Consider the following 14,539-nt stretch of genomic DNA (forward strand, 5'->3'; position numbering starts at 1 on the left):
ACCTGTTTTTCACTTACTTTGGGAACAAATACATGTCTGCACTTTTGCATGATGTTCTATTATATGGCTGTGCCATGATTTAATCAGCTCCCTGTCGAGCATTTTGTTTCCAATTTTTATTATTTTTGAAAAATTCTTCTACATAATATCTTCTCCATTTATTCAATTGTGATAAAATGGAATTTAGGGTCAGAGAGCATGCATATATTTCATAAAAGTTTTAATACATGATGCCAAATTATATTCCCAAGTCAGATTCTTCCCCAATCATTTATATGTCCCTGGCAGTTTGTGAGTATTCATCTCCCCATTCCCACAATCACATGGAATATTGCCATTCCCTTGTCTCTTTGCCACTCTGATGGGCAGCAAAGAAACATTATTCATTAGTGCTGCAGTGAAAAGATTGATGTGGGTTTGTCTGTGTAAGGAGAGACAGGATTAGCAATATAGGGAAAATCTGTTTTTAAAAGATGTGGAGAGAAGCTTCTCATAGGAAACAACTGAAAATTCTTCTGCCAACAAAAAATTACATACAAAATAAGGGAGCCTTTCATTTGTTTATAGCTGTCCTGATCCCCTGGTCTTATGCTTCGCTTTCTCAACAAAAGGAGGATGCTGCTGGCATCTAATAAGTAGAAGCCAGAGATGTTGCTAAATATCCTACAATGCACAGACTAGCTTCCCACAATGAATCTGGCCCAAAATGTCAATAGCGCTGAGGTTCAGAAACCCTAGTTGAAACCCCAGCTATTTCTCAAATGGAATTCTGTTCACTCGAGAGAGAGTTCACGTTGCCTTCCACATCTAACAGGATGTGCCCTTGTCTTACAAGGCTTTGCATTTCATCATATTGCCAGTGTTTGAGAGACTGGTTGGACATGGCCATTCATGTGAAATAAGGAACACTAGTTCCATGGCATGAAGGTCTACAGTCTGGACCACTTTGTGGAGGATCTGGGCCACTGGAGACTCAGCCAGCTGAGGGAAATTAATAGTTTAGGAATCATGGAAACAAACACTAGAGTGCCAGGCTATGGCTTGAGCCCTGGCAAGAAAAATATAGAACTGTGGTGTGAGAACAAAGGGATTCAGCTAGTGAGGGGAGGAAAGAGTTGGAGACTAATCTGATGGGACACTTAATTGGGTCAGAATGTCATTAGGCTGTAGGAAGGAACCCTCACCAGGATCCAAATCCAACATAGGCCCTTAGATCTCACAGTTGGACTTTCCATTTCAAAGAAGCACCAATGTTTTGGTGATTTATTACACATTGCCATGCAGTGAATCACAGGATGAAGCTGATTGGTGTGTGATTTGAGCCAAAAGTTTTTCTGTTCGTTTAATATATGTTACTTTTTTTTTTTTTTTTTTTTTTTGAGATGGAGTCTCACTCTGTCACCCAGGCTGGAGTGCAATGGCATGGTCTCAGCTCACTGCAACTCCACCTCCCAAGTTCAAGCAATTCTTCTGCCTCAGCCTCCCAAGTAACTGGGACTACAGGGACGTGCCACCACGCCCAGCCAATTTTTCTATTTTTAGTACAGACGGCATTTCACTATGTTGGCCAGGCTGGTCTAGAACTCCTGACCTCGTGATCCACCCACCTCGGCCTCCCAAAGTGCTGAGGATTACAGGCGTGAGCCACCGTGCCCGGCCTAAGTTACCTCTTAAAATGATTTCCTGGGAAATGATTCCATGAAAACCCAGTAAAGGAGTGGGGAGGGAAGTGAGACAGGGAAAAGAAGAGAAGGAAGCCAAGCTGGATGCTTATCAAGTCATGTCTCATAAAGAGGAACTTTCAGACTCACAGGGAACGCTAGAAAGAGTGTAGGCCACACCTCAAAGTTGCCCTAGTAAGGGGCAATGGAGCTGTAGTGTGTGTATCTTTTTTTTTTTTTAATTAGTCATTGTTTAAGCCAGGTAAATTGGGTTTAGGCAGCCCCCTGACGGATGGAGATATGAATGAAACACCAATGTCATTCGCTACAGCCATAATCTCAGAACAGTTCTTCTTACAAAAAGATACTTGGGGCTGGGCATGGTGGCTCACGCCTGTAATCCCAACATTTGGGAGGCTGAGGCAGGAGAATACTTGAGCTCAAGAGTTGGACACCAGTCTGGCAACACAGCAAGATCTCATCGCTACTAAAAGTAAAAAAAAAAAAAAAAAAAAAAAAAAAGATTGGCCAGGCATGGTGGCTCACCCCTGTAATTCCAGCACTTTGGGAGGCCAAGATGGGAAGATTTGCTTGAGTCCAGGAGTTTGAGACTAGCCTGTCAAATTAGTGAGATCTTGTCTCTCCAAAAACTAAAATTAGCCGGGTGTGGTGGCACACGTCTGTGGTCCCAGCTCCCGAGTAGCTGGGACTACAGGTGTGCACCACCACACCCAGCTAATTTTTTGTATTTTCAGTAGAGACGGGGTTTCACCATGTTGGCCAGGCTGGTCTCAAACTCCTGGGCCCAAGCAGTTCACCTGCCTTGGTCTCCCAAAGTGCTGGGATTACAGGCATAAGTCACCACTCCCTGACTAAAATATTGTTGATCTGCAGTTGGTTGAATCCATGGATGTAGAACCCTAGGATACCATAGACCAACTGTATGTTTATTATCTTGTGATCGTTTTGCAGGTGTGTACATATGACAAAGTCTAGTTTCACACAGGTAATCCATTGGAAACATTTTAATATTTTTTCACTGAATTGGGACTGTTCTTATTAAACTGGGTGAGTTAGGCTCAGTAGTCCATAGGCTATCTTCAGTTTTACTTCCTGCTTTGTCCATATGGGGCCAAGAAGACTTGATCATAAGGCAAGTATCCACCTGCAGGGGCCTTGCAGGGAGAGGTCACTGACCTCTTAAGCCTGTGAGTAGGACCTTTATCTAAGAGGCATGCTGGTGATAACTACATGCACAACGTTCGGAAACTACTGTCTACAGGCTGAAGTCTAACTTCTGGCCTAAAATTCAAAGCCTTTCATGCTTCATCTTCTGCAGTTCTTCGCTCTTCTTTCTCCTCTATCCCCTTCACCCTTCCCGTCCCACCACATGAATGACTAATTCCTGAATAGGTCATGCTTCTCCTCCATGCCTTTACCTGTGCTATTACCTCTACCCAAAATATCCTCTTCCCCTTTTATGACCACTCCCAGACAATATTAATCCTTCCCTCTTTGGTGTTTCTGTTGTCATCTGAGTGATTTATTCAGCAAACAGAGGCTATGGACTTTCTTTGCGTCAGGTAGTATTCTTGCTTGAATACTACCTGACGCAAAGAAAGTCCATAGCCTGTGCTTGCTGTGGAGAAATCTCAAGCCTCAAGGGCTAACAAGCAAGAGACAAACACGAAAACCAGTATTTTGTCTTAGAGGTGAGGAGTGCAGTGAGAGATACGGGTATGATGGTAACACCAAAGAAGCATGATTGGTCCTGCTACAGAGAGGGGAGACTGGGCAGGACTTCCCGATGGGTCATTATAACAGAAGAAAAGTGTTGCAGCTTAACAAAAGGGGAGGAGCATGAACCATGTGTGTGAGGCGTGGAGCTGTGAAACAGCAAGGATGCACTCTGTATTCGTTGCCTGGAGCTACTGTCCCAAAATACCACAAAGTGGTGGCCTGAAACAACAGAAATTTGTTCTCTTACAGTTCTGGAGGCCAGAAGTTCAAAATCAAGGTGTCAGCAGAGTTGGTTTCTTCTTGTTGTGCTGAGATAATTCCTTCCATGTCTCTCCTACCTTTTGGTGGGCCTGAGCAATCCTTGGCATTCCTTGGCTTGTATAAGTCCAGTCTCTGCCTCTGTCTTCACATAGGGTTCTCTTCTGTGTCTCCTTGTGTCTTGGCTTTCTGGCCCACACTAAAATTATCTAGGGCAATTTTATCCCAAGATCCTTAATTACTCTCTGAAGACCCTATTTCCAAATAAGGTCACATTCACAGGTGTCAGGGATTAAGATTTGGACATATCTTTTGGAGGAACATTATTCAACCCACTCCTACCTCAAAAACTATAAGAATTGCTTTGCCTAGTTGCACTTTTGTTTTTATTCCAAGCTTTTATCGGGGGATTCGGTCTTCCATATGTTCTTTTTTTCCTCTGTCCGACTTTCCATTCTGATTTATACCTTCCTCAAGACTTTTAAATTAGTGATAATTTCTCATCTTACATATGTCCTTATACTTCAGTTTGTGAAATGTGTGTTGGACAAAAGCATGAACTGGAAAACACCTATCAGGTTTAGTGGCAGACCTCTGCCAAAGGAGTTCCAGGATAGCAGTGAGCCAAGAAACTAGATTGCAGTGCATTGAGGAGGGAATGAGCAGCTACGAAGAGGAGGGTGTCTGTCTCTTTAAACCCTTGCCTGTGAAAGGCTGACAGTACAGAACACTGGCTGGAGTGAGGCTGACATTGACAGGAAGCTGCCGAAAGAGAGAGGGATGCTGGAGAAATAAAACTCAACTTATGGCACTCACATCAAGGAAGTGGGAAGGGATGGATCCAGAGGGACAAGCCAATGGAGACGGGCGAGCAGGGTAAGGAGATGGTATCCTCCTCCTTGATGGAGAAGCTTTTTCCAAGAACAATGGAATAGGTGTGCGGGGCATAGGGAGACTTGGAAGGACCCCCAAAGGGAATAGAAAAGGAGAGCCTCTTGGCCACTAGGATGGTGTTAGGGAGCCAGGGGAGGTTGGAGCCTCTCTGGAAGTGCCCTGTGGCTGCCCAAGTGAGGGGAGACAATGAGTACACATGTGAAGAAAGGATTTCCTGTGGGAAAACCAGATTCATGTCCTTCCTGCCCAGAGTTATGTTCTTCAAGGAGTTCAGTCCTGCACACACTAGTGAATAATCCTTATAAATGTCCACATATGCCCCCCAAGTACGTCTACCAAACATAGCTCAGTCTTACGTAAAACAGTGTACACATGTTACTAATCAGATGCTCTCATAAGGAATCATGCCATTTTGAGAGGGCCCGAAGCTCTAACAACTTGAGACCTCCTATCTGGGCCGTAGCTTTCTCATTATAAAGTTGGAAGTGGTAGGATTAGCCTGGATGGGTTCTCATTACCTCCCAACTCTGGTATTCTGTGGTTCTAATGGTAGTTGGTAGCCCTTGGCATCACTCAAGAATAATCCTTGATGGCCAGTGTGCAGCACTGCCTCCCTGTGGGCACCCCTCAGTCTAACAGCCACACAGCAAGTCCCCAGCCTCCCCAGCTCTGCCCCATTGTATCCAGGTAAGCAAGGTGAGCCCTTGCTGTAAGCATCACCCTGGTTGCCTTCCCATGACCCAGCTTCTGAGAATCTCCTTGCTGTGTGCATAGCCCTCTTCACCCATCTCTCCAGCTCTTCGTGTTGGGCTCCGCCCTTCTTCTGGTAGTCTTCTGATTCCATGTGGCCCCATGAGCCACTCTCTGCCCAACCAGTCATGTAGATGTGGCTTGTGCACAGTCTAGAGACTATATAAGCAGGCCATGATGGTTGGTTGTGATCATTTTTAGGTATCATGCTCTTGATAATGAACATATCCCTCGATTTGATACTGTTTTGATGGGAAAATCAGTTTTATCCCCTCACCATCCCTTTGTGAGCATACACCTAGCCTTAAGTGCTTAGAAGTGGCTGTTCTGGCCAGGCGCAGTGGCTCACGCCTGTAATCCCAACACTTTGGGAGGCCGAGGCAGGAGGATCACTTGAGCCCAGGAGTTCAAGACCAGCCGGGGCAACATAGGGAGACCTTGTCTCTACAAAAAAAAATTAAAATAAATTAGAAATAAGAAATAAGGCCAGGCACGGTGGCTCATGCCTATGATCCCAACACTGGGAGGCTGAGGTGGGAGGATTACTTGAGCTCAAGAATTTGAGACCAGCCTGGGCAACATGGTGAGACCCCATCTCTACAAAAAAATTTAAAAAATTAGCCAGGTGTGGTTTTGCACACCTATATTCCCAACTACTTGGGAGGCCGAGATGGGAGGATTTCCTGAGCCCCTGCAGTGAGCTATGATTGCACCACTGCACTCCAGCCTGGGTGACAGTGAGACCTGGTCTCAAAAAAAAAAAAAAAAAAAAATTCTGTGGCACCCTCCTGGAGACGGGTCTGTTTTTAGCTTCCACACCATTAATAGTTTAATCTCTTAAGTCACAAGTAAGGAAAGGGAGTCACATACGACAGCAAAAGCCCGCAGTTCCCAGCAAAAGCCAGAGGCAAATGAGAACCCACGAAGAACCCAGAGTTCACACCACAACCTGTGCGCTGGTCGGGGTGACCCATGCTGGACCTCCACAGAACATGGGGCCATTCAGCTAACTCAGTAAACACTTGCTGAGCATCTGACCTGAGCCAGGTCCTGTGCTGACATCTAGGACTTTCTACCCTTAAGGAGCTGTGGCTTTTTCTCTAGTTGGTGAGACAGATGGAAACCCCTTCAGTTCCACTACAGATATTTTTGAAATACCTGTTATGTGCCAGGCACTTTCTGAACTCGAGGTACCGCAGTGAACCAGACAGGTGTTATCTATGCCCTCCTGGGGCTTCTAAGCCTTCAGAGAAGATAGACACTGTACAGGTGAGTTAAGTGCTCCAAAGAGTATGGCTCCTGGTGTGTAAGGGTTCAAATATCTGTTGATAGAAAGGATAAAGGCCATGTCATCTTTATTCTTTCTCACAGGGCCCAGCATGGGGCCTAACACAGTTAGACTTAAGTAAATGGATTCAACTCACTGGTCCCCAGCACTGTCCTCTGCATGATGTTACCGAAATGGAGACAACCAAAACTAACTGGACAACTTAGTCAGCTGGACTGGAAGACTGCACTTCCAAATGGAAAGGTTTGCAGTGGCTCCTTTGGAAATGTGGCTTCAAGGGTGGAGAGGGGGGAAGTGAATGTGGGGCTCGCATTATAGGCTTTGGGGGTTACAGAGCTTGCTGGTGTTGCTTGCCCTTACGCTCTGTCAAATCTCAGGCAGATGAAACAAGATGTAAGCTTTCTAAATTATCAATAGAGGGCCTGTCATTCAAATGGAAGATAAGACCAGAGAAAATAAAAGTCCACCAAAATAATGCCAGAGAAAAACAACCCTGGTCTTTCAAAAAACCATAGATACAATTTCTTAGAGAAGTTTAGGCCAGGTACAGTGGCTCACACCTGTTATCCCAGCACTTTGGGAGGCCAAGGCAGGTGGATCACTTGAGCCCAGGAGTTTGAGACCAGCCTGGCCAACATGTCTCTACCAAAAAAAAAAAAAAAAATTAGCCTGTTGTAGTGGCACACACCTGTAGTCTCAGCCACTCAGGAGGCTAAAGCAGGAGGATCGTTTGAGCTTGGGAGGCAGAGGTTGCAGTGAGCCAGGATCACGCCACTTGACTGCAGCCTGGGCACCAGAATGAGAACCTGTCTCAAAATAAAATAAAATAAAATAAAAAAGGTTTAGTCCAGGAGGCCTATTTGTGTTTTGAATCAAAATTCACTGCTTTAGAAAGAAACTGCATGGATTTCAGTGTTCTCGTCTGTCATACTCTCTCAGACTTCTTTCCTACCCTCAGAAAGCTTCCATTTTAAGATAGGAAAGAGAAGCCCTGAAACAAGACCAGTGTAACTTAAGTTACAAAGAGGCATTCATGTGGGTCTATGTGTGTGGAGAGAGGTCACTTCTAGTGTCACTGGTGGTGGAGACCCAGGAAAACTTCACAGAGGAGATGGCATTGGAATTAGCTCTTGAAGCATAAAGAAGACTAATAATTAGGATAAGAGGAAATGCCTCTCAGGAGGAAGACAAATATAGGCAACAGCCTGGATGTAGGATAACCTAGGACACACTTAAGTAAGAAGGTCTAGTATAATTTCCCTTGACTCTAGTTCACATGAGGGTAATAGAGGGAGGTAAATGAACCAGATCACTGAAGTCTGAATTTCAAGCTAAAGAGTGTGGTTTCATTTTCCTCATCTATAAAATGAAGATAATATCTCTGTCTCTTGCAAGAATTAAAGTGAGGCCAGGCACAGTGCATAGCCCTCTTCACCCATCTCTCCAGCTCTTCGTGTTGGGCTCAGCCCTTCTTCTGGTAGTCTTCTGGTTCCAGATAATGGCTATGATTCCGGCACTTTGGGATGCTAAGGTGGGAGAATCACCTGAGCCAGGAGTTTGAGACGAGTCTGGGCAACATGGCAAGACCCCAATCTCTACAAAAATTCTAAAACTTAGCTGGGAGTGGTGGCGTGCACCTGTGGCCCTAGCTGCTTAGGAGGCTGAGGTGGGAGGATCGCTTGAGCCCAGGAGAACAAGGCTGTGGTGAGCTGTGATTACACCACTGTGCTCCAGCCTGGGCAACAGAAGGAGACCATCTCAAAAAAAAAAAAAAGTTCTGCATTAGATGTATATATATTAGATATGTATATATTAGTCATTAACTACTTGCATAATGCTTTGTAAAAAGCAGCTGACACAGGCTGGGCGCAGTGGCTCACACCTGTAATCCCAGCACTTTGGGAGGCTGAGGTGGGTGGATCACGAGGTCAGGAGATCAAGACTGTCCTGGCTACTACGGTGAAACCCCGTCTCTACTGAAAATACAAAAAAATTAGCCACACGTGGTGGTGGACGCCTGTAGTCCCAGCTACTTGGGAGGCCGAGGAAGGAGAATGGTGTGAACCTGGGAGGCAGAGCTTGCAGTGAGCTGAGGTCGCACCACTGCACTCCAGTCTGGGCGACAGAGCGAGACTCCATCTCAAAAAAAAAAAAAAAGGCAGCTGACACAATGGCAGTGGTGGCAGCGGAGAACCATCGAAGATTTTGACTAGGGGAGATGAGTCACTTGTGTGGAGATGTGTTTTAGATTAACACAGCACTGCACAAATTAGCAATTAGCACTTTTGTAATATTAGTACTCATAAATTGCTTTTCTTTCCAAGGAATTAAAAGACATGAACAGACATGGTAGGTGGTTACATCGGTCAGGGTTCTCTCGAGAAACAGAACCAATAGTAGAGATTTATTCAAGCTTGCACAGTTGTGTAGGCTAGCCAGTCTAAGATCTGTAGGGCAGGCAGCTGAGGCAGGATTTCTGTCTTAAGGCAGAATTCCTTCTTTGGGAAACTTCAGCTTTTGCTCCTAAGGCCTTCATCTGATTGAATGAGGCCCACCCACATTATCAATGTCAGTCTCCTTTATTTCAAGTCAGCTGATAAATCACATCTACGAAATACCTTCCCAGCATCATCTAGACTAGCATTTGACCAACCAACTGGGCATCATAGCCTAGCCAAGTTGACATATAGAATTAGGCATCACAGTGGTCTTTATCTTGAATATGGAAACTGAGACACAGACTGGCAAACTGACACAGAAGCTTGGCCAAATTAGAATTCCTAGAACCCGGTACCAGGCCTACCAGGTAACTCTTGTGTCTTATAGTTTTATATTATTTATTCCTGCTTTTTACATAAAATTTACCATAGACATAACCAGACTGAATATCTATGGGTAGATTGTGCCGAATGCTGATGCAAACCACTCTATTTTGGGGAGGAAAGAGAGGACTGACGTCAGGTCAGGCCCACAGGTAGAGACACAGACTTTGGCTTGGTGCGAAGAAACACTTCCAGACTGGAGTTTCCACCAGTGGGACAGGCTGCCTGGGACACACACAGCTCTTGGTCCCCGGAGGCGAGCAACAAAAAGCTGAGCCACTTAACATGGTGCTGTGAAGGAGATCCAAACATCCAGCCAGCATGGACCAGGGGCTGAGAAGAGCCTCCCTCCGAGCCTGTATGAATTCCGATAACCCCAGATACTAGAAATGATCCTCACAATTAACTGCATCCTTCAGAAAAGTCCTTGCTCCTCTCCCTACCCCTTCTCCACCACCAGGGAGCCTGTGGAGATTGGAGCAGAACGGGGAACCTCCCTGAGATGGAAGCCATCTGCAGGCCCCACTCACTTTTCCTCCACTGGCGCCCTCTTGCCTGCCAGCCTACCCTGGTTAACCTTCCTGGGAGGAGAGCTTGTCAAAGTCGCCTCCGCCTCAGCCTCCTTTCACAACCCTGCCTCATCTTCCACACCAAGTCTCAGGGGGCCTGCAGGACCCACCATCATCCTGGAGAAGTCATGGGTCGCCAGCCACCTGTCTCCTGTGCCTGCACCCAACTAACCATCGCTTCCTGCTAATTTGCATTGACAACCTTCCTGCACTTGGCTGCTCAGGGGAGTTTTCTGGTTTTATCTCCTCAATTAACTTTGGCCTCCTGGGTCACTCTGGATTTCCCACTGCAGACCTGGCTGTGGAAGCCTGCCTATATGCTCCAGAGGATTCTTGTCTTTTCACGAGCCCTCCCTTCCCATCTGCAAGCCAGGCTGTGCACACAGCAACATCTTGCAAGGGAGTCTCGGCCATGGCAGGATTTTTGAAGTTCTGGTGGGTGTCAGAGCTGCAAAGGGCCAAAGGACTGTCTAGTCCACTCTAGCCCACCCGACTTTGCCTCCTCTCCTCACTTCACAGATGGGAAATTGAGGCAAGAACTGAGAAAAGGCTTGCGGTGGTCATACATCAAGTCAGAATAATGGCCAGACCCAGGCCTTGGTGCCCCCTCAACCCCCTCACACTCTCTCTGCCACATTTTGTCAACAGAAAACAATTTGCAAACTTCATCAAGTTAGGAGGGAGTGAAAAATGTGTTTAAATATTGAGCTTCAACAGCCTTGTTACTTCTAGGCACCTTCAGCTATTTGCAAGAATCTCTGGGCATAGCATGAGCCGGGCTGTGGCATGGGAGTGAGGGGCTGGATGGAGAAGAGGCCTCCCTCCTGGGCCAGGAAGCCGACTCCCATCCCCTCCTTTAGCACCGTGGACTGAGCACCTCTAAAATAACACCTCCCATGGAGTTACGATGCGTCAGGGAGCAAATGAACTCTGAGATGCAGGAACTAGACCTGAGGACAGGAGGAAACTGGGAAGGGAGTGGGGAGCAGCAGCAGAGCAAACAGAAAAGATGCCCGAAGGAAGCGAGTTCCTAGGCCACCAGGGGCCAAGACCCCAGCACGTGCTATAGATTATCTTGGGGTTCCCAAGAGAAAGAAACTCTCAAGATCAGAAAGTCACTGTTGTCTTGGAGGACTTTCAGAGATAATGAAGTCTAGAATGCTCTTGGTACCTATGGGGAAACTGAGGCCCAGAGAGAGCCTCGCATCCCATACTGAGTTGGGGGCAGAGCCAGGACTACTGCCCAGGCCCGACCCCAGTGTGAGACTCTTTCCACAAGGTGGGGAACCAGGGCGTGGGAGCAGGGTTTGCAGGAGACCTGAAGGAGGGGACATCTATGGTTGGGTGTTGAACTTTTTGGAGCCCTAGAGGCCAGTGAGGCAGAAACACCACAGAGGAAAGCTGGGGTTTCTCTGTGACAACAGACTCTTGTGGTGCTATGAAGAAACTGGTGTGGTTGTGATGAGGAAAGAAAGGCTGTGAAAGTGAAATTTCCAATTTGTGAGAGGAGGAAACTGCAAATGTGTTCTCCATCCCATGCAAATTATCTGTGGCCTTTTGTCCTGCACCTGCAGCGGCTCACAACATACACAACACCAGGGCTCAGACAGGGCTCAGGGTCCCGCAGAGTCTGAACTGGGTCTTCCAGCTCCAAACACAGCAGGAGCACAGGGGCAGAGAAAGTCTCCCTCCAGCTGTGGGGGTGTCCTGAGATGCCTGAGCTGCACCTGTAGGGTGTCTGCCCTCCCAAGGGCCTGCCAGGATGAGAACGGGCAAACCTGGCCAAGGTGACCCCATTAGGGACTACCCTCCTAGGGACAGCACTCAGGGCCGTTCCCAATCACCCCGGATTTCCTGTCCTGCTCGTCTCCTGCCACACCTCCTTTTGATCTACCCCCAAGACACCCCTACCTTTTTATTCTGTGAAAATTTACTCATGCTGTGGGCCCTGCTGGAAATGCCCTCCTACTGTTTCCCCAAACCCCGTCAGAAATTCCACGGGGAAACTCCCTTCCCTTCTGCTGCAGGCACCGTCACTGTGTCTCTCAGCTCTGCCCCCCAGCCTCTGAGTACCACCTTATCCTAGCCCTTAGCTACTGGCTTGTCATTGTCTCTTTACGTTCTCAGCCTCCCACAGAAGCCTGGGAGCTCCTCGAGGGCAGGTATCTGATTCATCTCTGTATCCCAAAAGCCCAGCGTTTTGCTTGGCACCCATTAGAGGCCAGGAAGGGCAAACCTCCTGTCAAATCCCGGGGGAGATGTTGCTAATCAGTCCTGAACACCGTTCCCTTGGAGACTCAGGCTTCTCAACGTGGTGGGTAGGCCCTGCCTGTCAGCCAGGACCTGCTCTCCCAAAGGGGCGCTCCAGAAATGTGTGACTCAGTTCAGCTGGAAGCTCCTGGCCCCTCAGAGGTTTGACGCCAGCCCTCTGGTGTGTGATTTCTGAGATACCAAGGCTTACTTCCTCATGACGCCCGCATGCTGCCTCAGCTTCACTCCTGAGACAGTCCAGGCAGGAAGCACAGAACTCCTCTCAGTTCTGTACTCACACTCGATATTCACACTCATACACACGCAAGTATGTACACATGCACATATGCACACTTGCACCACACATGCTGCCACATACACAATAACACATGCACACGCTTGCTCACACTTGCACACACACACAAATACACTCCCATCAAATGTTTTACGGGATTCAGGAGTTTCAGTGAAGATTTGGGGCTACGAGGACAGGTTACATGACACTGGGCATAGCTTCCCACTGTCCTTGCAGCTCCCCCTACCCACTCTCTCTGTCCTCTCCCCCTCAATTCCCTCCATTGTTCCAGCACTGCCCCACCTCGGTCCCAAATTCTCATCCCTCTGTTTTATAGAGCCATTCTACTGTCTGCTCTGGAGTTGGGAACTGTCCATACCTGTGCCTGCAGATCCCAAACAAGGGAGTGTTTCCCAAAGAGGCATTTGAATCACATGTTTCTCCGTCTTGCTTAGTATCATTATGAACAAATGAATGGCTGTAGCAGAAGAATGTCTTGTCACAGCTCTCCATTTCCCATTCTAAACTAACACAATTCTGGCCAGACATAATGGCTCATGACTATAATCCCAGCACTTTGGAAGGCTGAGGTGGGAGGATTGTTTGAACCCCGGAGTTCAAGACCAGCCTGGGCAACATAGTGAAACCCCCGTCTCAGTTTTTTTAAATAAAAGAAAAAAAGGAATAAACACAATTCAGTGACAAATCTCTTGTTTTGGGCCCTACTCAGTGCCTGGCACTGTGCCAGACACTGCAAATACAGAGACAGTAGCTCCCCCAAGAAAGCACCACAGTGCCTAATAGCAAACACACACACATAAGCAAACACTAGGCTGGGCACAGTGGTTCACGTCTGTAATCCCAGCACTTTGAGAGGCCAAGGTGGGAGGATCACTTGAGCCCAGGAGTTGGAGATCAGCCAGGGCAACATAGACCCCATCTATTAAAAAACAAACAAAAAAGCACGCATGGTGGCCCATACCTGTAGTCCCAGCTACTCAAGAGGCTGAGGTAGGAGGACATCTTGAGCCTGGAAGGTCAGGGCTGCAGTGAGCCATACTCATGCCACTGCACTCTAGCCTGGGTGACAGAGCAAGACCTTGTCCCAAAAAACAAAACGAATAGTGACAAGTGAAGGATGTGACTGAGGCCATCCTAGAGGTAGAGAAACAGCCTTTCTGCTGTGATATGAAGGACAGTCAACTTTCCAGGTGAGCAAGATTGGGAAGGTCATCTCAAGCAGGAGGAGCAGCACGTGCAAGGACACAGGAGTGCCTCACCTATTCTTGAGCTTCATATAAATGGAATCATCCAGTGGGTACTCTTGTCTCTGACTTCCTTAGCTCAGTGAGTCTGTAAGATTCACCCATGGGGAGAATACTCTAAAGCTTTGTTTCAAACATTGAGAATTGGGGAGCTAACTTGGAGGAGCCCAAACTCAACACAATAGTTTCCTAATCACCCCACCACAGAAGCAGGGCTCTCATGAAAATTAGCTTTTATCCTCTTCTTGTAAAAGCTTCCACAGAACCTAAGCCTCAAGGAGCACAATGTATAGCAAGCTCCCCCACCGCCTGCACTGAGCAGCAAGAGTCTCACTCTAGTCCACAACTTAAGATGTTCTATTAAACCCAGGGTGGATTTTCTATGCCCAGTGGTTTTCCATTTTGTCTTTTAATTTTTACTTTAAGGACTTAATTTTAACAAAAGAGCCAAATTACCACCAAGCTTTGAAATGAACTTTAGAGGAGTTAAGAACAGGCTTTGGAATATGAAGCTTTAATGAATATTGGAAGACAGTAATTAAACAGCCACTGTGCCCTGTCTCATGCTTTACAAAAGGCAAGGAACAGAGAGATCAAAGACTGGAGGTGTTTGCTTCGGAACCACTGGAACCACCTGAGGAGATTTTTTTTTTTTTTTTTTGAGACGGAGTCTCTCTGTCGCCCAGGTTGGAGTGCAGTGGCATGATCTCAGCTCACTGCAAGCTCCGCCTCCTGGGTTCATGCCAT

The 14,539-nt window shown here is 47.1% G+C and overlaps 1 long non-coding RNA gene across 1 annotated transcript in view, besides 1 other annotated feature; it reads left to right on the forward strand.

The window, feature by feature from the left end:
• Positions 1-2,459: 2,459 nt before the first annotated feature.
• LOC124902153 (uncharacterized) overlaps positions 2,460-14,539 on the forward strand; it is a 34,185-nt gene continuing 22,105 nt past the window's right edge. Inside the window, exon 1 of the long non-coding RNA XR_007061478.1 lies at positions 2,460-6,834. This is a non-coding gene — a long non-coding RNA (uncharacterized LOC124902153). The remainder of the gene's footprint in view (positions 6,835-14,539) is intronic.
• Positions 10,065-10,214: an enhancer, noted in NCBI's record as "active region_28383". NCBI's record gives its function as "activates an Ori minimal core promoter by ATAC-STARR-seq in GM12878 lymphoblastoid cells {active_cell/tissue: GM12878}" and the evidence as "EXISTENCE:reporter gene assay evidence [ECO:0000049][PMID:35858748]".

This window comes from Homo sapiens, chromosome 9 (genome assembly GCF_000001405.40).
Source record: "Homo sapiens chromosome 9, GRCh38.p14 Primary Assembly".
In the NCBI taxonomy this organism is placed as follows: Eukaryota; Metazoa; Chordata; class Mammalia; order Primates; family Hominidae; genus Homo; species Homo sapiens.